At 41.0% G+C, this 22,044-nt stretch overlaps 1 protein-coding gene across 10 annotated transcripts in view, besides 7 other annotated features; it reads right to left on the bottom strand.

The window, feature by feature from the left end:
* Window positions 1–22,044, bottom strand: part of TRIO (trio Rho guanine nucleotide exchange factor) — a 366,863-nt gene that overhangs the window by 286,138 nt on the left and 58,681 nt on the right. Inside the window, exon 2 of one of the 10 annotated variants that reach the window (XM_047417679.1) lies at window positions 1,137–1,285. The exons of 8 other annotated variants lie outside the window; for them this stretch is intronic. In XM_047417679.1, the coding sequence (XP_047273635.1) occupies window positions 1,137–1,230 (94 nt within the window). In that variant the 5' untranslated portion in view covers window positions 1,231–1,285. Of the gene's footprint in view, window positions 1–1,136; window positions 21,371–22,044 lie in introns of those variants that run through there. One more of the 10 variants, XM_011514107.3, reaches the window with a different exon arrangement.
* Window positions 3,494–3,553: an enhancer, noted in NCBI's record as "active region_22395". NCBI's record gives its function as "activates an Ori minimal core promoter by ATAC-STARR-seq in GM12878 lymphoblastoid cells {active_cell/tissue: GM12878}" and the evidence as "EXISTENCE:reporter gene assay evidence [ECO:0000049][PMID:35858748]".
* Window positions 11,697–11,756: an enhancer, noted in NCBI's record as "active region_22394". NCBI's record gives its function as "activates an Ori minimal core promoter by ATAC-STARR-seq in GM12878 lymphoblastoid cells {active_cell/tissue: GM12878}" and the evidence as "EXISTENCE:reporter gene assay evidence [ECO:0000049][PMID:35858748]".
* Window positions 11,837–11,886: an enhancer, noted in NCBI's record as "active region_22393". NCBI's record gives its function as "activates an Ori minimal core promoter by ATAC-STARR-seq in GM12878 lymphoblastoid cells {active_cell/tissue: GM12878}" and the evidence as "EXISTENCE:reporter gene assay evidence [ECO:0000049][PMID:35858748]".
* Window positions 13,964–14,043: an enhancer, noted in NCBI's record as "active region_22392". NCBI's record gives its function as "activates an Ori minimal core promoter by ATAC-STARR-seq in GM12878 lymphoblastoid cells {active_cell/tissue: GM12878}" and the evidence as "EXISTENCE:reporter gene assay evidence [ECO:0000049][PMID:35858748]".
* Window positions 15,594–15,743: an enhancer, noted in NCBI's record as "active region_22391". NCBI's record gives its function as "activates an Ori minimal core promoter by ATAC-STARR-seq in GM12878 lymphoblastoid cells {active_cell/tissue: GM12878}" and the evidence as "EXISTENCE:reporter gene assay evidence [ECO:0000049][PMID:35858748]".
* Window positions 18,907–19,006: an enhancer, noted in NCBI's record as "active region_22390". NCBI's record gives its function as "activates an Ori minimal core promoter by ATAC-STARR-seq in GM12878 lymphoblastoid cells {active_cell/tissue: GM12878}" and the evidence as "EXISTENCE:reporter gene assay evidence [ECO:0000049][PMID:35858748]".
* Window positions 19,037–19,096: an enhancer, noted in NCBI's record as "active region_22389". NCBI's record gives its function as "activates an Ori minimal core promoter by ATAC-STARR-seq in GM12878 lymphoblastoid cells {active_cell/tissue: GM12878}" and the evidence as "EXISTENCE:reporter gene assay evidence [ECO:0000049][PMID:35858748]".

Genomic DNA, 22,044 nt, shown 5'->3' with positions numbered 1-22,044 from the left:
AGCATATATCAAAAACTATGGCTGCAATCTCTGCTTGAAAAACATTTACTTTTATTAATACTATTTTCAGGCCAAATGTGGGTTCTGTCTCTAACTATGTACTTCCTGGATATCAAGACAAGCATAACAAATGTAATCACTTGTGAATCCAAGTCAAGACTTTGGGGATATCAAACACTGAATATCAGTAAAATGTAACAGTAAGACAATATGTACCTCTATAATCCGACTTAGATTAAGACTAAAATTCGATAGGAATTTGAGCCTAAAATATTACACATTTACAAAGAGAGGAAGCACATGTGCCAAAGGGAGATGATGACCTTCAAATGAAAAACAAAGTGCCTGTTTAGGGCCACAGAATGCACAGCTGCACACCGCAGCCCTGCTTCCCGGAAACTTGGCCATTTCCTCTTGTTCTCGCAAATCTCACTGGATGTGGCTTCCCACCTACACACCATCAGAAGGGGTTTTGAAAGTAAATCCTTCTCTGTTTCTTTACGTAATAAGATTAACTTGAAGCCAAGCAGGGTCACCTAGGCTAGTTGCTCCACCGCCCTGTTCCCAATGCTTGCCTTGGTGAATAGGACACAGAGGACATGGCTGTGATGCAACTTACACCAGCCTCCTATGGGGAAGGAGAGCCTGCTCCTGGAGGAGCTCTCAAAGTGCACGCTGAGATCTGCTGTGTCCCACACAAAATCTGAACTGAACTGCAGGGTGCCAACGAATGATTCTGTTTACATCGTTTTTCTGGGGGAACTCAAAAGACGTGCATACATTTTTGTCGACCCATTCAGTATCTCTGTCAAGGTAAGAAACAGGAAATACTATTTTTCCAAAAGATAGAATCATAGAATTTAAAATCTGGAAGAACTCTCAGGGATAGACGCTGTCACATAACTCTCTGCCACTGCCCAAGATTCCAAAGCTGGGGCAGAGCTGGGACAACTCATAAGCAGCAGACACGGCTACCTGTCCTCTTACCTGCCTCTGTGTCAGCTGCACTCATGGAAGGAGGAGGTCTCAAAGGCTATCCCAGAGACAAAAGGCTTCATGCCCAGGATTCCAACACTATCATTTTCAACAATCCTATTTATTTTTGATCCGGGAGACGCCCTCAATCAGGAACTTACATGTCCACACTGCACGCCATCTGATTCTCTCCAAGTAGGAAGGGCAAGAGGAACGGCAGCCTCGTGCTGCCCTACCAAGCCCGCGCCTTAACATCTCTGCGATGTTAGAAGTCACCAAGTCTGATCAACTGGGGCTTCAGGATTCTTACCTGGAAACAGGGAAAAGTGGGAGGGAGAGGAGGTGCCCCTCAGAGAATTGTTACAAGGTTTAAAACTTCACATGTATTTCTTAAAAGGTGGTCCCATAAACACCTGCATCAGAATCCTGTGGAACAGTTACTCAAAATGCAGGTTCCAAAGCCCCGCCCCAAAGATACTGAGAAAAGAGGTCTGGAAGGGGCTGCATTTTACTGTTTCCAAGACAATGCTTAGGTCAGGTTAAAAGCTTCCCAGCTTCTTTTATTCTTAGTGTTTGTCTCAGAGCAGATGATTTACTGGCTGGGGGTCTGAGCTAAGGATTCAAAACAATACAAAATGAGGTTGCGATGAAAGGGAACTAAGACATCATCTAACCTACTGGGTTTCAAACTTTTGTGACCTTAACCCACATTAAGAAATACCTTTTACAATACAACTCAATATGCTTGTGGGTTTGGTTCCAGACAACTGCAATAAAGCGAGTCACACAACTTTCTTGGTTTCCTAGTGCATATAAAAATTATGTTTACACTATACGTTACATGGTACATTTATCCTATACTGTAGTTTATTAAATGTGTGGTAGTATTTGTCTTTAAAAATGAACACACCTTAATTTAAAAATACTTTATTGCTAAAAAAAAAAAAAAGAAAAGAAAAAGTGCTAACATCATCTGAGCCTTCAGAGAGTCGTAATCTTTTTGCTGGTGGAGGGTCTTGCCGCGATGTGGATGGCTGCTGACTGCTCAGGGTGGTGGCTGCTTGAAGGCTGGGGTGGCTGCGGCAATTTCTTAAAATAAGACAGTGATGCAGCTGCATCTATCGACTCTTCCTGTGATGAAAAACTTCTCTGTAGCATGTGATGCTGTTTGACAGCATTTTATCCACAGCAGAACTTCTTTCGAAATTAGAGTCAAGCTTCTCAACCCCTGCTGCTGCTTTATCAACTAAGTTTGTGGCACATTGGAAATCCTTTGTTGTCACTTCAACCAAGTTCACAGCATCTTCACCAAGTGTAGATTCCATCTCAAAAAACCACTTTCTTTGCTCATTCATGAGAAGCAACGCTTCATCCCTGAGGAGTTTAATCACGAGACTGCAGTAATTCAGTCCCATCTTCAGGCTCCACTTGTAGCTCTAGTTCTCTTGCCGTTTCCACCATATTTGTAGTTACTTCTTCCACTGAAGTGCTGAACCCTTCGAAGTCATCCACGAGACTGGAATCACCTTCTTCAGAACTCCTGTTTATGCTATTTTGACCTCCTCCCATGAATCACAAATGTTCCTCATGACATCTAGAATGGTGACCTTTCCAGAAGGTTTCCAGTGTACTGTGTCCAGATCTACCAGAGGAATCACTATCTATGGCAGCTACAGCCTTACAAAATGTATTTTGTAAATGATAAGACTTGGAAGTCAAAATTAGTTTTTGATCCATGGGCTGCAGTACGGATGTTGTGTTAGCCGGCATGAAACCAACATTAATCTTCTTATACATCTACACAAGAGCTCTTGGGTGACTAGGTGTATTGTCAATGAGCATCAGTATTTTGGGAAAAAAAAATCTTTTTTCCTGAGCAATAGGTCTCAAGAGAGGGCTTAAAACAGTAAACCATGCTGTCAACAGATGGGCTATCATCCAGGCTTTGTTGTTCCATGTACAGAACATAGGCAGAGTAGATTCAGCATAATTCTTAAGGTATCTAGCAATTTCAGAATGGTCAATGAGCATTGGCTTCAACAAAGTCCCCAGCTGCATTAGCCCCCAACAAGAAAGTCGCCTGTCCTCTGAAGTTTTAAAACCAGATGTTGATTTCTCCTCTCTAGCTGTGAAAGTCCTAGATGGCATCTTCTTCCAATAGAAGGCTGTTTTGCCTACACTGAAAATCTGATCTTAGGAAGGTCTTCTGGAGAACTTGCTGCAGCTTCCACATCAGCAGTTGCTGCTTCATCCTGCACTTTTGTTATGGAGATGGCTTCCTTCCTTCAATCTCAGGATTTAACCTCTGCTAGCTTCCAACTTTTCTTCTGCAGCTTCCTCACCTCTATCAGAATTTGCTGAGGCCTTGTTCTGGATTAGGCTTTGTCTAAAGGGAATGCTGTGGCTGGCTAGATCTTCTATCCAGACCACTAAAACTTTCTGCATGTCAGCAATAGGCTGTTTTGATTTCTTATCATTTGTGTGTTCACTGGAGTAGCACTTTTAATTTCCTTCACATTCACAACTTGGCTGTTTGGCACAAGAGGCCTAGCTTTTGGCCTGTCTCAGCTTTCAACATGCCTTCTTCACTAGGTTTAATCATTTCTAGCTTTTGATTTAACATGAGAGATGTGCAAACGTTACTTTCACTTGAACACTTAGAGGCCATAGTTGGATTTATTAACTGGCCTAATTTCAATATCGTTGTGTCTCAAAAATAGGAGGCCTGAGGAGAGGGAGAGAGGCGGGGTAACAGCTGGTCAATGGAGCAGTCAGAACACACACACTTACTGATTAAGTTTGCCACCATATACAGGTGTGGTCCATACTGCTGCAAAACAATTACGCTAAAAACATCAAAGATCACTGACCAGAGATCACCATAACATGTAACAATGAAAATGTTTGAAATACTGTGAGAATTACCAAAATTTGATACAGAGATACAAAGCAAGGACATGCTGTTGGAAAAATGTCATGGATACACTTACTCAACACAGGGTTGCCAGAAACCTTCAATTTGTTTTTAAAAAAAAAAAAAAAGAAGAAGAAGAGGAAGAAGAAAAAAAAACCCCGCAGTATCTGTACAATAGAACAAAGTGCAAAAAAAAAAAAAAATGCCTGTACATGAACACTTGTGTTATATATACTGACTTTAGAGACTCACAAAATCACTCTTGATATGTGCAATGAACTCTGATATTTCTGTACTATTTTAGGGCATCTTTTAGTTTAAAAAAAAAAAACTGCTGGACGCCACATGCTGCTTGAAAAATACTGATCTATTTTACCTCCTCCAGAAATGGTTCTTTAATGTTAGTCCTCAGGTAAAGATCCTGGAGTAAAAGTGAACCCTGAACCCTATCCCAAAGATTCTGATGCCTCAGCTGGTGCTGAGGATTCTGCGTTTTCACAGGTATTCCAGGTGACACTAATGCAGGTGATTCCTCATCACAGCAGAAGACCCGGCCCAGGTTGCCACCCGCAGTACTGTCCTATTAATACGGGATTGGTGGTAAAGACACTGTACTAAAACTGGGAATCCACAAACCTGAAGGGTCCCCTATGACTCCGGCCAGAAACAGCCTAAGGCTTTGATAGAGCCATCCAAACACGCGGGCAGCATTCCCACACGGGTTGGTAAGACAGGCACACTTTAGAAAGCAGCAGATCTTTTTTCAGCACTGAAATAGGACACAAAGACTCTCTGAGTATTTTCAACAAGGAAAGCAAGGTTTGCAGAGGCAGAAGTACAGGGCAAGGATCTAAATGGAGTTCTCCTACTCCACTGTGGGCGGGGGGTAAGGAAAACAATGATCTGGTCAGGCTTTTGCAGAGTAAACAAAAAAAAAAAATTATAGAAAAAGAAAGCAAATCATCCTCCTCCCTCTCCACTTCACATACACACACAAAGCACTTGGCCTTAAACTTAAGTTTCTTATGCCACTGGCTCTGCTAAAGTCTAGTAGTACTTTTCCATCTCACAAACATTCACCAATGTCACACCACCACACTAGCCTTGTCATAGTTCTATAAACTGAGCTACCAGATTTCACCTTGACCAAGTCTCTGACAGCATCAGAAACCGAGGCACTTGTCCTAAATCTTGTAAACTAAACAAGAAGGCGCAGAGCAACAGCTTCCCTAGCTCAGTAAGAGCCGGAGAAGGGTTGCTGCCGGCACTGCCAGCGGCACAGGGATCCCACTTCCACATCCCAGTCCTCTTCAGAGGAGTTTACTGCTATTGGAAAGTTCACAGCCTTTGGAAATTGTCATCTGCCATGTTTCAACCAGGAATTGGTGCCCCATCTAATGCAGGAGGGCAGTGGCCGCGGAACCCCCACAGCAGCCGGGTATAGCCCTGGCTGCACAGGCTGTGCGACCCTCACCTGCCCCACTGGGCTTCTTGTGAGGTGCACAGGAACCACAGAAGCCACAGCTCTGTGGGGAGGGGCCCCTGCTCCAGCCCCACTGCGCAGCCTCGCCCAGGGCCCACCTGCTCCTTAAGACTTGCCTGAGACTTTCTTTTCAGTTACAAACTACTCTTATTATGTTGTTGGGTTTTGAGGTTTTTTTGTTTTGTTTGTATTTCAACATCAATTTCACAGCAGAGTTGACTCTTAGAGACTCAGCTCAGGTCCTTAGATGCTAATTGTTGGAAAAGTTAAGAAATTTTTCAAATTAAATGACATAAACATTGGGACTATTTCTTCTGTGCTCTTAATATCAGTCTTCTATGTGGGTTATTATGATTCCATAGTAAAACTAAGAAAATTACTTTAGCAATCATTAGACACTCACTCTGTCCAGGCACCACCCTAAGCTCTTTAAACCGACGACTTCACTAATTCATCCTAACAACCTGCCAAAGGGGGTCCAGGCAGGTCTGTGCCACTTAACTGCTTACTGACACAGATGACAAAGTGCAGAGATGAAAACATGCCCTTGTGCTGAAACTTACTTACTTTGCAAAAGTTGCATTTTAAAATCCAACCTGTTTTGGGAAGGTAAACGAGACTCTCCCCCCAACACACACATGAACTATAGTTATACTAAAAATCATTAATAAGACTTTTATTTATTTAATCAGAAAAGCAGAGTCTTCTTTCAAAAAGTTACTGAATGTTTTTAAATGCTTGATTTCAACCATGTATGTTATTCTTTTACTATTTTCTCAAACTTTGGACTGATTAGTACTGGCAATACGGTGTAAAAGACAGAGACACTTTCCTATAACCTTATGCAATCTTTATGCAAGCCATGTGTCAGGCTGGGAATGCCCACACACACTGCCCCACACGTGCTGCGACAATCACACACCAGAGGCCCTGACACCGGGAACAAAGTGCCAGGACAGCCACACAGGGCTGCAGCAAGTGCCACACACACTTCTAGAATGATACTCACATTCACATAGCTGCCCAGGACTTACCCTAGCCATTTTCTCATTAATTTAGTCAGGTATGCCCTTGTCATCATTGATCAAGACAATCTTCCTATAAATCAGAAATCTAATTTTAATAACTGAGTGTGCCTGTGACTGAGCAGGCTGCAGCTGTCGTGGCTGGCATGGGAAAGCCCCAGAATCCTAATTCCCCACCTTCTGTATACTTCATACCTGGGTTCGTGGGGGACAGCACGAGGGAGAAGAAAAGCTTTATGGTCATTTCAATGCAACAACTCTCACTCTCCTGGGGACTAGTGCCAGGACTGAGGGCAAGAAAGGGGCCCAGAAAGAAGCTGCAGGTGTAGGGATAGCATTTCCTTTCTGTGAACTCTCCTGGTAATGGTTTAACAGGACAGAGTTAGGACACCTCAGAGAGTCAACCTGAATGGCCTGCGTATAATGACCACATTCTGTACAGTGGCTCTCAGGACACTGTAGGTTCTGTTGTTTTGTTCATTCCTGGCTCCAGGTATGCTTAGTAACAAACATCCTTTAGTAAACAATGGGAGGAATGAAGTATGTAAAAGACCGGTGATCAGAGAACTCGGTGACGCATGGGGCATCGTGCTGGAGGAGGAATGCATGATCTGGGCCTCTGCTCACATACCAGACCACTTGGCCCTGCCGTCTTAAGCTGGGCTGTTCCCAGCACGCCTCCTTGCCCTGTAGGAGATTTCTAAGAGGTGGCATAGCAGTTAAGAGCCTGGCTCTGGCCAGGCTGCTAGATTCCAATGTCAGCTCCCCTTCCTAACGATGAGACCTTGGTCTGGCTATCTACCATATGAAGCTATTACAAGGATTTGATGCACCAAGGCAAATAGGCCAGTCATGGAAAACAGTAAAAACAACTGTACTGACCAGGTTCAGGACCCTTGGAGGCAGTTTCCCTGGAATCACTGAATCATGTTAAACTATAAACATGCTTTTATAATACTGCTACCATCCTGGCACATGCCAAATGGAATGACATTGGCAATAATACGATACACAGAGTCTTTAAAAACCAAGAGGTAGGACTCCAATCCACTGTACAGATGTTTATGGTATGCACTGAAATACGACACCTTGATGTCAGTATTATGAGAACAGACCACAAGTTATTTCTAAGACACAATCAACTCAATGACCATTCAGCTCTTTTGGAATGATTGGACATGCAACACCAACTCCAACAATCCAAGAAGGTGAAGCAAATACAAACAAGAAGAGAAAAACCACCTTGTTGTTTGAAACACCACATCTTTTTTCAAATAGGTGTATACATAAATGGGCAGGCAAAACTAACAACAATTGTTGGACAAGTGTGAATTCTATGGCTGGCTCTGAGACAAATTCAACTCTAATACAGCCAAACCCATTCATAAACTACCTAAGAGAAAACAGAATCTGCAGCATTTCCAGATCAAAAAGCTAGTGCTATGGGCAGACTCAAAGAACTCTTGAACTTATGGAAGGAAAGACGTCTGTGCAGGCTTGCTACTATCATGAAAAGGATGAGTCCCCATCACAATCTGAGGAGTCAACCCTTGTTAAGCTCTTGCTGTGAGCCAAGCTTTGCATGGATTATCTCACTGAATCCTCACAAGAACGCTAAGAAGTAGATACCATGATTACCTCTAATTTACAGACAAGGAAACTAACGCACAGAGAAGGCAAGCAGCATGGCTAAGATCAAACGGCTTGATTAAGTGGAGGGGATGGAATTCAAATTTGATTCCAGAACACGAGTTCTTAATCGCTAAAGAAAATTTTTAAAATAACCAAATCAACATAAATAAGTCACCGACTCTCAAAACTAGCTTCTATTGTCAAAATTCAGTTGTCTATTTAGAAGAACAAAAACTAGTTTTATGGTTTCTCGATTTTTAGGCACTTTGGAGTAGTAGAACTTAACCCACGCCATTGGAGAAATTGCAAATAGATTTGTACATACAAGCAAGATCTCACACTTCATGGAATCACTGGATCTTGGAGCTAAAAGATCTCACATTTCGTGGAATCATTAGATCTTGGCGCTAAAAGATCTCAAACTTTGTGGAATCATCAAATCTTGGAACTAAAGAAACTTAAGGAATCATTTAGTCTAAAGCCATTTTATGGATGAAAAACCAAAGTTTGCAGAAGTTCTCAAGGCCATATATAAAAGAAGGTTGGTCTGAATAAAGAAAGCTGAAGGAAAAAAATCAAGTTTTTATCACTAGCATATTCACTAATAAGATGTAAAATCATAATAAAACTGTGATAGGTTTCCAGATCACAATCAAGGTTTGTCATTATACACCAATAAACACTAACAGTGTGCATTGGCAGACACGAATAACAAAGTCACTACAAAAGAACGTTTGTGAAAGAAATGTAGTAGAAGCAACTGCCACAATTCAACCATCTCTTAATTAGCATCATATAAAAAACGATGCATGCTTTTAGTTAGGTTTGTTATGGTTTTCTTTTTCTTTCACCTAAAACAGTTGTGAAGAAGATAAGCTCCAAATCATCTTTATCAGTACAGAAGTAGAGGAAATCTAGGCTGCTTTTTTTGGTCTAAATTCATTTCTCCATTCTTATTATTGAACTAGACAGTCTAGCCTCCTTTTTAAATTACACATGGTAAACACCAAATACAGAAAAGATTTACTTTTCATACAAAATAAATTTCTCATCATTTTACTTTCTTCCTCCAAGTCAAGTTTTTAAAGGCACTTCATTCAACACAATTTTTTTAAACTGTAAAAGGAAAAAATAACATCATAACTACTGATTTGAAATCAATGAGTTCAAATGACTTAAGGTAGGATGTTTCATTACCTAAGGTGTTTATTTCACCTTTGTCAGAAATAAATAGAACACACACTTGTCTACACACGTACACTGACTGATGTCACAGACAAATCAATGAGGTCCTGTATCATCAAAGTGAAATATAACACTCGGTTTCATTCATCCATTAAAAAATAATTAGGTAAACTGAAGTAACAATGAAATTGATTTCTGATTTGTATCATAATAGGTCTGCACCCATTCTGCTATGTTCTTTCAAACTTTGTGGTGAGCTACGGTAGATGCTAATAACATCCGGTAGATTTTAAATAACAGATTTTTTTCCCCTAACCTTTGCAAAAAACTGTGTGTTTGTCAGACTAACCTGTATTTCCAAACTGAGATGACCCTGCATCCTTTCAGAAAACAGGTGGTAAGGAAACACCTACTGAGTTCTCAATACTGGAGTCTGAGTTTTTCAGTGTGTGGTCAAACATCTGTGAGTCTTGGACAAACAGCCTCGGTTCTCTGCCTGTGAAGAGAGGAATTCTCCAGCAGCCCTCCCTAGGTGACCCATGGCATACCCTTCCTTGGGGCCTGAAGGGCTCTGTCTCTAACCATGAACACCACGGCTTATGGATCTGTCAGGGTAGCAGAGAGCAACTGATGCCACCAATTTCAGCCTTCAAGATGGCCAGTCAACCCAGCCCTTCTCTAGGTTTCCACCTGTGTGTAATTTAAAGAATAAGGAATCTGATTGATTTCCAGCAGGAGCACATGACAGTAAACTCAAGCAGTGACAGCCCTGACTGCGGCTTGCCTGACTGCATGAAGCTCTCTTTCTCAAGGGGATCACTTGTAGTCAGGTAAGATAATTTTTAACTAAGTCAGTTAAAGCAGAGAGTCATTAGAAAGCACACATTAAATATGGTTTTCTTTCATCCTCCCGCTCAATACAGGCACATTGCTGAGTGCCACTTGAACAGCCCCGTCCCTCACTGTCAGTCTCCTGCCCTGGGCCAGTACCATGGTCTTTTTGTGAATGAAGGATGAATCCCTGGACAGAAGCTCTTCATTGTCTTACTTGAATAAACCCTAATACTCCAATTCTGGCATTCATCCTTATTAAACTGGAGTTAGAATACAGACACACTCTGAAAGAAACTAAGGTCAGAATGCTCATAGATGTTTACAAAATTTTCCCTGACTTTACAGTTCTCTCCTGTGCTTAATGTGACAGCTTATTTTAAACATACCATCTTTAACAAGTCATCCCAAATCAATTTAGCCTTTATAGAAATACTTTTCCCACTCATATCTGAAAATACTCAGAAAATATTTAATTAAATTACATGTTGATAGTAAAGGTGTCCTTGGCATAAATGGGTTAGAAACAAGCACAGCTAACTTGTGCATCAGCTTAGTATCTAACTGGTGAGTCAGGCATGTGAAAGTAGCCTGCTCGCCTCTGCTAGCAGCTAGAGTTAATTATCAAGTTAATATATATATATAGTGCATATATTATAAATAATTTTATATATTTATGTATTAATATAGTATAGTGTCATTTATATATACCAATATTAGTTTACATATATTAACCTGATAATTTAGAAATAACTTTTGAGAGAGAAGAGGGGAAGAAGAGTGAAAAGAAAAGAGGAGGGAGGAGAAGCAGGAAAAAAATTGTACTTTCCTTCTCCTTCATTCCAACCAAAGAAATCCTTCTGCGCTCTAAGTGCAAAGCAGACTTGTTTCCCTCCCAACCTCAGTGTTTGCAAGGTTGTTTGTAAAGAGCACACAAACCTCTAGGAGCAGGAAGAACCTCACACCTGCTCTGAATTCCCCTAGTGTACTTTGTCCGTGTTGTTCAACAGCAACTGAACTCTTCTTGGTCAGAAACAAGAAATTACAAATCAGATCCGGCCATGAGTCTTAACTAACCGTACAGTGTTTTCATCAGGCAAACATGAAGAAAGTACAGGCTACCCTATTTGGTCTCCTGATTGCTAGAAAATAAATGAACAAGTATGAGTACTATACAAATATAAGTCATGAGAACCACTTTCTCAAAAGTTGATGCAAAGCAAATTCAATGTGTAAATTAAAAAATTAAGCAATAAAGTGCCAAACCCTAACTTCCTGGCTATAATCAATCAGTAGACCTGATGTACACTGGTCAGGATAGGGTAATTTGCTTTGTTCTCCATTTTGGGGATTGGGGGGACATAGCTCTTTCCTTTTTCTTCAATAATGCCAACAATTCTTACCCACCCACCACAGGCCTTCCTCAGGCACTTCTGCTATTTTTACTGGCACAGGTTAACATTTAAACTTCAGACACTTTATTTTAGGTGTCTGAAATTTAAAACACCCTACATGCCTGAGACATCTGAGGTTCAATGAAAGCAGCATCTGCACGTTTGAGCAGGTATGTGAGTCTGGAGGGAGAGTTGGGGTGGAAACAAGGTTCACAGAAGTTGGCTGGAGTTCCCCGAAGGTTCCAGAGGAGCCCTGGGGAGCTGCACTGGGGTGTGACATCAGAGGGAGCCACCAGCCCAGGCACCAAATCAACATACTTGGGCGAGCTGGAAATTTTTCTGGTCCTCAGAAACCCGCCTGTTGGTCCTTATAGGGATGGAAGCTGTCCATGCCACCTGTTTATAATTCTATCCTTCCTGAGTACTCTACAAACTATAAATAACACATTTTAACCATTAAACCATTAATTTGCCTTTTTTTTTCTTTTTAAGACAATGTCTCACTCTGTCGCCCAGGCTGCAGTGCAGTGACAGGATCATAGTTAACTGTAGCCTCAAACTCCCAAGCTCAAGTGATCCTCCAACCTCAGCCTCCCAAGTAGCTGGGACCACAGGTGCATGCCACCATGCCTGGTTTTTTTGTTTGTTTGTTTTTGTTTTTTTGGTTTTTTTTTTTGGAGAGATGGGGTCTCACCACTGTGTTGCCTAGGCTGGTCTTGAACTCCAGGGCTCAAGTGATCCTTCTACTTTGGCCTCTCAAAGTTGATGGGATTACAGATGTGAGCCATGGCATCTGTCCCCACTAATTTACTTTAATCTACTATATTTCTCTTTATACTTTTTATTTCATTGATAATTTTCTCTTCATAGTACTATTTGATCAGAATACTAAAAAGATTGCCACATTCTGTTTCTTAAGAACAAACTGTTGCTCTCTGTATGCAGATCTAGCCAAGAGAAAACATATGTGACAAAAAGACTGTTCTTATTAATTTCTAAAGAACAGATCTTAAATTTACAAAAAAAAAAAAAAAAAACAACTGAGTGTGCTCAGGAAAGCTCTATATATACACTTCAACTGGTAGATTCTTGTTTTAATATATACCTTCAAGCACACATGGCAAAATATTTTATTGTTTCATATTTTAAATTATTGTATGTTTTATTATAGGTTAATTCACAGCAGGGGCAAATTTATAGTAATGACTGCTTATGTCAGTCCATTTAAAGTTAGCAAGCCATTTAAAAATATGAGCTTTATGCCAGGTTTGCTTATAAACAGGTCTAAATTACTCATTCATATTAGGCATTTTGCCAGCCCAAATTATTATATGTTAACAGCTAAGCTTTTTACATCAAATCTTTGAGATGATGATTCTTTCTGAGATACTAGAAACCCAACTCTCTGATTCTCCTCTTTTTGAGGAAATGATTTTGGCAGTTGTTAAATATATGAATCGTTGATCTAACTATAACTTACTGTTCTAATTGGAAAGTCAGAAGAAGGTAAAGTCAAAAGGTCTAAAAATAATGTGACTTTTATTATGATTATTATTTGCAGTTGGCACGGCTTCAAGTGGTCTCCAGTAAACCTCAGCAATTTCCAAAAATGTCAAGGAAATAGACCTAAGTTATCTAGGGGCTCATGGCAAACTTACAAGGGCAGGAGTGGGGAAGATGGAAAGAAGGGAAGGGAGAAAGAGGACAGAGAGGAGAAGGGTGAAAGGAGGAAGGGAGTGGAGGGTAGGACAAGATAAGGACGGATGGACTTTTTGAATATGTGTCATCCTCTGACATCCACTTCATTTCTGCTGAATTCAAATTTTAATTTTAACTGTACGTAGAACTACTGGACAATAAGGCTGAATAGAGTAAGCTGCACTTTAAAAACATACCGCTACAATAACTGATGGAAAAATAAGGGTGATATCTATGATTCATGTTGAAATAAAAATTTATTTCCTTTTTCTTTCATGGTTTTTCCCCAAAACAATCATAAAACCACGACAACAACAACAACAACAAAAAAACACTTTCAAAAGTGGTTTGAAAGGAGATTTAGAAGAAACAAATGCTGCAAAATAACCTCCTCTCAACTGCTCCACAGATCTGGAAAAGAGAGACCTCTAAATGGGCTCTGACAGATGCTCCCATAAGTTAAAGGGCACCTGGACAGCAAGAAGCTAAACGCAGGCCACAAAATGGCTGGCTGCAAATAGGTCCCCATGGGGATCACAGCAGAGGGTGCGGAGCCTGGGGAAAGCTGGACACCCCTACTCTTGGCTGGGGTCGCTGGACAATTACCTTGGTGGCCTCAGACAAGCCAAAGCTTCCCTAGACTCTGTTTCTACATCTGTCAACAAGGAAGCTGTCCTCAAAAGTAACCAGTGGTTTAATTTCATGCCATTTCACACTTCCAACCTTCTACACAGAACTTCCCCGTTCATCTACCATCTACTTGTATTCCTTCAAAACTCAACCAAAGGGGCCGACCGCTCCTCCATCTGACTCCCCCTGACCCCACCTGGGGCGCCATACCCTGCACTCGCTGCCCTAGTTGTGGCCCCAGCTGGGCTCCTCCAGCAATCAGGGCTCCCACGGCACCAGGACCCCACTTGGTCCACGCTGCAAGCTGGATGCTAGGCCCGCACACAGGGAGCTCAGCACACAGGGAGAGGGGGAGCAGCCAACACCCTGGGGACCCCATTCTGGGGGGCTGCAATGCTCTGCCACTGCCTCTGTCCCTCTGTGCAGAAGCCCTCCTAAATTCCTCTCACCAGAAGATCTGAGTCTGATAAAAAATCTCCTGACAATTTAAAAATACTGCCTTGAGGGCCAATACTGTCAATTTTGTTGAATGTTTTTTCTTTCTTAGAGTACATTTTAAAGCATTTAATGAAAGAAAAAAAGTGTGCTGCACAACCTCAAACAACACAGAGTTCCTCTAGACCACGGAGCTCAACTAACAACCGCTGCTCGAGAGATCCAGCTAACAGGGTGTCTGTGGCAGCACCCCCAAGGCCATACAGAAGAGTCAACTCAAGTGACCCACTATCAACCACTGGTTTAACCCAGTACGATACAAGCATGGAAGAGTAAGCAATCATTTTAAAAATAATGACATTACACTAAACTATTTACAGGAGAAAGAATATATTAGTAACTGGGACTTGCCTCAAAGTAATTGAGGGAGTAGAGACATGACACGTGACAGGCCACAGATGGTGACTTCCGAAGAGCTCACGGGTGGCATCACCCATTCTTTCTACTTCTATGTATGTCTAAAACGTTCCAATATGAATTTTAAGAAATGATGGCAAATATAGTTCCTGACATAAAGGATGTTCACAATATGGTCTTTACAACGTCATGAGGTATTTTAAGGTATAATTTACATACCATAAAATTTACTCATTTTAGCAGATAGGGCTCTATGGTCATAACATGAGAATGGGACCTACTGGCTCTGAGACCTGTAAGTTATCGGCACTAGCCCTCAGTTTCCTCTTCTGGAAAACAGGAATGTAATCTACCTCTTAGGACTAGATGAAACAGAAAATGGCAAACTGCGACCTGTCGAATAAATTCTGGTGCACTATTTTAAAAATATTCACCCATTTTACACGGACTGTAATAAATTTATAATTGCACAACCAGCATCACAATCCAGTTTTACAACATCACAATCCAGTTTTACAAACAAACTTTATAACAGAGTTTAACTGAGAATAGGATGATTCGAAAATGAGGCAACCCTTAGAACCAGCAGAGGGTTCAGAGTTCCACTTCAGGTAGGTAACACTTATGAACAGAAAATAGAAGTGAGGTACAGAAACAGCTCAACTGGTTAAAGCTCAGCCTTTGCCTTATTTGAACAAGGTCTGATGAACTGTCCACTTGTGACTAACTGAAGCCCAGCTGCTGTGATTGGCTGAGAGTCAGCTATTTGTTACAAAAGTATACTCTTCAGTTAGACTTTCTGTTAGTTTACATACTAAGTTAGATTACAGTTGCTTACATAAGGACTCAAAGCACAGAGACATCTTCAGGCTTTAGTTTGGTTTAACACTTTCTTCGCTCTGAAATGTTTCCTTGTGACTCTTTGCAGTCAATCCTCTCACCGGCCCATACCCCAAGGCAACCACTGAAATGCTTTTTTGCCTAATTTGGCTTTTTCTGGAAATTTCATAGAAATGGCATCATGCAATATGTCGTATTTTGTGTCTGGCTTCTTTCACTTAGCATGCAGTCAGTGAGGTTCACTCAGGTTGTGGCATGTGTCAGAAATTTGTTCCTTATTGCTGAGGAGTATTTAACCGTCTGGATATGATGATGATATACCACATCCTGTTTATCCATTCCAGTTGGTGGACATTTAGATCATTTCATTTTTGGCTATTATGAGTAATACGGCTGTACATTCGTAGAAAAGTCTTTGTGCAGACATGTTTTCATTTATTTAGAAGGAGATACACAGGAGTGAAACTGCTGGTTCAAATGATAAGCCTATGTTTAAACTTTTAAGAAACTGCAAACTGTTTTCCAAACTGACTGTACAACCTTATATTCCCAATTTATGAGGGTTTTGGTTTCTCCACACCCTCATCAACACTTGGCAATGTCAATCTTTTTTATTATAGCTGTTCTAAGTGAGTAGTGGTATTTCATTGTGATTTAAATTTGTATTTTCCTAGTGACTAATGATATTGAACATCTTCTGATGTGTTTATTTGCCCTTCTTTGTTGAGTGTCTATTTAAATCTTGTGCTCAATTTTTAATTTGGTTTTGTTCTTTTTATTGTGTTATAAAAGTTCTGCATATATTCTGGATTAAAAATCCTTTATTGGATATATGATTTACAAATATTTTGTCTTGGTCTGTGGCTTGTATTTTCACTCTCTCTCTCTCTCTCTCTGAGACAAGGTCTTGCTCTATTGCCCAGGGTGGAGTTGAGTACAGTGGCACGATCACAGCTCACTGTAACCTTGAACTGCTGGGCTGAAGCAATCCTCCCACTTGAGCCTACCAAGCAGCTAGGACTACAGGTGCATGCCACCACACCTGGCTCCGTGTGTGTGTGTGTGTGTGTGTGTGTGTGTGTGTAGAGAGACAGTCTTGCTATGCTACCTGGCTGTGTGTGTGTGTGTGTGTGTGTGTGTGTGTAGAGAGACAGTCTTGCTATGCTACCTGGCTGCGTGTGTGTGTGTGTGTGTGTGTGTGTGTGTGTGTGTGTGTGTAGACAGTCTTGCTATGCTACCTGGCTCTGTGTGTGTGTGTGTGTGTGTGTGTGTGTGTGTGTGTGTGTGTGAGAGACAGTCTTGCTATGCTACCTGGCTGTGTGTGTGTGTGTGTGTGTGTGTGTGTAGAGACCATCTTGCTATGTTGCCCAGGCTGGTCCTGAACTCCTAGCCTCAAGCCAACCTCCCACCTCAGCCTCTCAAAGTGCTGGGATTACAGGTGTGAGCCACCTTACCCAGACCATTTCCTTAAAGGTATATTTTGAAAAGCAAAACTGAATATAAAAAAGTTTAAACTATAGACTTTTTTCTTATGTTGTTCATACTTTCTGTATCTTATCTAACAAATCTTTGTTTAATCCAAGATCACAAAGATTCTCTCCTAAGTTTTATAGTTTTAAATTTAGATTTGTGATCCATTTTTATACATCCCTTGACAGAGAAAAAACTAGTGATAAAACTGCATTGCAAAATGACGCCTTTTAAACATATGTAACATGATTATATATGCTTATATGGAGTTACAGGTACACAAACAAATAAAAAGAGAAAAGCCTAACTGGACATGCACCAAAACAGCAGTAGGTACTTATATCCTAGGAAGTTTTATTCTCTTTTTTGCCAGTACACGGAAATAGCATATAATGAAGTGGCTGTAAAATACTATACACCAATCTGTACTGTCTCACGCAGATAACGAATATGTACTTCAGTCATACACAGGTAACACACAGGCACCATCGAAATGGAATGACAAATTTCAGGAGCAAGGCAGCAACTGTCAGGTTAGGCACATGCCAGAACAGAAGGGCAGCGGGACCTGAGAAAGAGGCTGCTGGGACCTCAGAGGCTTACTGGGAGAAAGAGGTTGAGTTAAACTTTCGAGGATAAGAAACATCCGGAGAATCTGACCACAAGTTGAGTTCAGAGGATGCAAAGTCCTCAAGACAAGAGCAAGAATCTAGAGGAATTAAGCAGTATGCTTAGTTTTTTAAAAAGACGTTTCTTTTTCTAAAAAAGTACATTTTAGACCAGGTGCAGTGGCTCATGCCTATAATCCCAACATTTTGGGAGGCCTAGGCAAGTGGACTGCTTGAGACCAGTAGTTCAAGACCAGCCAGGGCAACACAGTGAGACCCATCTCTACCACAAATACAAAAAATTAGCCATGTATGGTGGTGCGATGCCATGGTCCCAGATACACAGGAGGCTGAGGTGGAAGGATCACTTGTGCCGGGAGGAAGAGGTTGCAGTGAGCTGAGATTGCGCCACTGCACTCCAGTCTGGGTGACAGAGTGAGAAACCATCTCAAAAATAAAAATAAATAAAAAGTACATTTTAAAATGAAAAATATTTGGCCGGGCACAGTGGCTCATACCTGTAATCCCAACGCTTTAGGAGACTGAGGCAGGCAGATCACCTGAGAGGTCAGAAGTTTGAGACCAGCCTGGCCAACATGGTGAAACCCCTTCTCTACTAAAATACAAAAATTAGCCGGGTGTGGTGGCACGGGCCTGTAATTCCAGCTATTCGGGAGGCTGAGGCACGAGAATCGCTTAAACATAGGAGGCAGAAGTTGTAGTGAGCAGAGAGCGTGCCACTGCACTCCAGCCCGGGTGACAGCATGAGACTCTGTCTCTAAATAAATAAATAAATTGAAAAACATTTGTATAAAAGTATTTGTATGCGTATAATGTTTTCATTAGTAAGAAACCAACTGGCATCTTCTGAAACACTAATAATTCTTATATTTTGTGTTAATAACACAGTAGCCAGATAATAAAAATTAATGTTATTATGAAGTATGATATGTAGTTTTCATGAATTAAATTTAATTGTAACTACAGCTGCATAATTCCTATTTTTTCCAGGGGTTTTTATCCTCTCCCTGGCCAAGGAACTTCAGATACAAGATAGACCTTCATTTTGAATCTAACGTAATGAACAGTGTATTGACTTGTAACATTACTTCAAATGCTGAGGAACTACTGTTCACTGTTTCAGGTACTTCTGAATGAAACTGTTAGCTGCTACATTACGGGGACAATTATTTTATCCTTTGTTCTTATTTTCTTCTTTTCTCTAGATCACATGTTCTATTTTCCAAAGAATTTGCAATCCACAAAAGAAACAGCCCAGGAAGCATGCGGTGGATGTGCTAAGTAACTCCACCTCCCTGGCGCTGAGGCCAGAAAGCAGACACTTCCTGCAGCTGCAGTTACACAACGATGTTCTGTGGATTTTTCGGGCAATAGTTAATGATTTAAGACAATAAAATCCTGTGCCCTCCTGAATCCGTGGGCACTTCCCTTTGCACCACAAATGTTGGCCTCTGTCTCTACTGCAGCCACGGTGGAAACAGAGAGCAGGAAAAAGAGCTTGGAAGAGGAACCCTGAAGAAGGGGTGACACCACGCATCCCAGACTTCTACACGGCTAGAAACACCCCTGACTAATATTATTACTAAAGTGTATACATGGTGGCAGGCCCTGTTCTAGGCTCTTTACAAATATTAAATCACTGAATCATCCGAACAGCCCAGTGAATGAGTACTACTGTTATCTGCATTTTACAGTGAGGAAACAGAGTCAAAGAGGGGAAGGCACTTGCCCAGGTCAGGGTCACTGCTCTAAGCTCCTATATCCTTAGGTTAACTCTCCATGTTACACTGTATCTTTTACTTCATGTCTGTTCCCCAAAATCTGAATAGCATTTTAATGAGAGACAGGGTTCAGGACTTCATAGGATAATATACAATAGTCTTATTTTGGGCAATATCTTCCTCAAATCCTTTGTTTCTTGAAATCTCTACTTAATTAGCTATTGTTCCACCATACTTAAGTACACATTCCCGTAAGACCTAGAGACCAACACTGACCATACAATGTTAGTATGTGGTCCACTCACTCAACCATGGGTGCCAGGACCTTGCTTGTCCCTAAGCTGCCCACGATCATAAAGACAGACCAAGACAACCTGCAGAACAAAAAAGGAGTAAGTTCACACTCTTCCTCCTCTGTGACCATCGACCAAGGAAAAGAACTCCCCTTTCTCTCTGGCATCCATGAGGCTGGCAGTGCAGAACTCCTTCCCCGGGCACCCTCCACTCCTCTCTCAAATTACCTCTGCGGTAAAAAGACAGGCTGGTGCTTTCAAAATCAGTATTTTATTGTGAGGTCAAGCAGAAATGTACTAGCAGCACAACCACAGATGACACTTGTTTGGCTTAAAACAAGACACACAACTCAAAACAAGCATTTCCCAAGAAATAAAAAGCATAAGCAGCTTTTAAAACGTCTAGGCTATTGACAGGCTCAAGTACTTTTATCAAGGTCTAGAAACATTTGAGACATCCATCAGGATCCTGAAAAGAGCAGTTCAATTCTTCCTACATTTGTTGCTTTACTTAAAAGTACCAGGCATCTTCTGAGGTGCAACGTAACGATAAGAGAAAAAAAGGAAAAAGCTACCAGGTTTGAGTGCACAATTAACAAGGGCTCACTTTCCTTCTTCAATTTTACACGCTATTCCTGCTGTGTTTCTCTAATAAGCCATCAGCCCACCCCCACCCCTTTCCCTGGTCTGCTGAGAAAAGGACTAGGCTTTGTACAGCTTCAGCACCTAGCAAGGGGCAGGTGACTGCCAGGGGAGCGAGGCCCCCTTGTACAGAGTACAGGAAAGGGTCAGTCACAGATGCCCGTCAAGGGCTCCATTCCCATGCTTGAGGGCACTGAACGCCACACCGGACAATTACTACATACATTTTTTAAAAGACTGTTTCTTAGAATTTGTTACTTTTTATTCTAACAATATAAAAAGGTCATTTCCATAAAACTCACAGGTGAACATAAGATCTCTGTCTTAATATGCTTATTTCATTATTAAGTACAAAACCAGAAATATCTGACCAGGAAACATGGTCTGTAAAAAAAGAAAATTACCTTCCTACTTGATTCTAAAAATACTGTGAGAATGATGATGATGTTTTGTAAGGCTTTTGTAGTCCTTGCGGGGAAATGTTTCTGGACACAAGGAATGAAGCTGTTTTACTTTTAAGATACCAAAAAGCAATCACCTTGGGATGCTGCAGACTTATTCCACAGGAACACTGCCAGGACTCAACGCCTTCTGGAATCTCTCTCTTCAAATTGCCTATTATAGGACATTCTTTGGAAAAATCCTTAATGCAGTAAGCCATTATTTTTTAAGAACAGATTACAGTTTGGGAAATAACTATTCAGTGCCCAATATACACAAACAGAATAATCAAACTTGTTTACTCCATTTTTTAAAAAGTTACGACTATAACCTGAGGTATCAGGTATCTAATTACTACAAAACGAACCACCACAAAACTTATCATGGCTCAAACGATAATAGCTTATCATTTCTCATGACTGTAGGTTGACTGAGTGGATCTTAAAAATTATAAATAAAAGCATAAATAAAAATTATAAATGACCAGAATGGTGTATTAGGCCTTTTCACATGGCTGATAAAGACATACACGAGACTGGGTAATTTATAAAGAAAAAGAGGTTTAATGGACTCACAGCTCCACGTAGCTGGAGAGGCCTCACAGTTATGGCAGAAGGTGAAAGGCATGTCTCACTGCCGGAAGAGTGAGGCCCCATTGTACAGAGTACAGGAAAGGGTCAGTCACAGACGTCTTGGCGGCAGACGAGATAATGAGAGCCAAGCAAAAGGGGAAACTCCTTATAAAATCATCAGATCTCATGACACTTATTCACAACCACGAGAACAGTATGGGGTAAACCACCCTGAAGATTCAATTATCTTCCACCAAGTCCCTCTCACAACATGTGGGAATTATGAGAGCTACAATTAAAGATGAGATTTGGGTTTGGACACAGTCAAAGCATATCAAATGGAGATACTGGTAATCACAACATGAGCTACAGTATTCAAAATCACTTCAACTTGCTCATAGTAGGTCAGGAGTGTCCAATCTTTTGGCTTCCCTGGGGCCACACTGGAAGAAGAGGAATTGTCTTGGGCCACACATAAAATACACCAATACTAACGATAGCTGATGAGCAAAAAAAAAAAAAAAAAAAAAAAAAAAAAAAAAAAATCACAAAAATATTCAAAATGTTTTAAGAAAGTTTATGAATTTGTGTTGGTCCATGGGTTGGACAAGCCTGGTACGGGTCCTTAGAACTGCCTAGCAATGCTGGGTTATCTATATGCTATATGCTGTTTTCACAAGTTCATAACAGAACTTTTCACCTTTTTTCTTTTTTTTTTTTAAATTATACCTTAAGTTTTAGGGTACATGTGCACAACGTGCAGGTTTGTTACATATGTATACATGTGCCATGTTGGTGTGCTGCGCCCATTAATTCG

The sequence above is a fragment of the Homo sapiens genome, chromosome 5 (genome assembly GCF_000001405.40).
Source record: "Homo sapiens chromosome 5, GRCh38.p14 Primary Assembly".
NCBI classification, from domain to species: Eukaryota; Metazoa; Chordata; class Mammalia; order Primates; family Hominidae; genus Homo; species Homo sapiens.
This window is presented reverse-complemented; position numbering and strand designations above follow the sequence as displayed.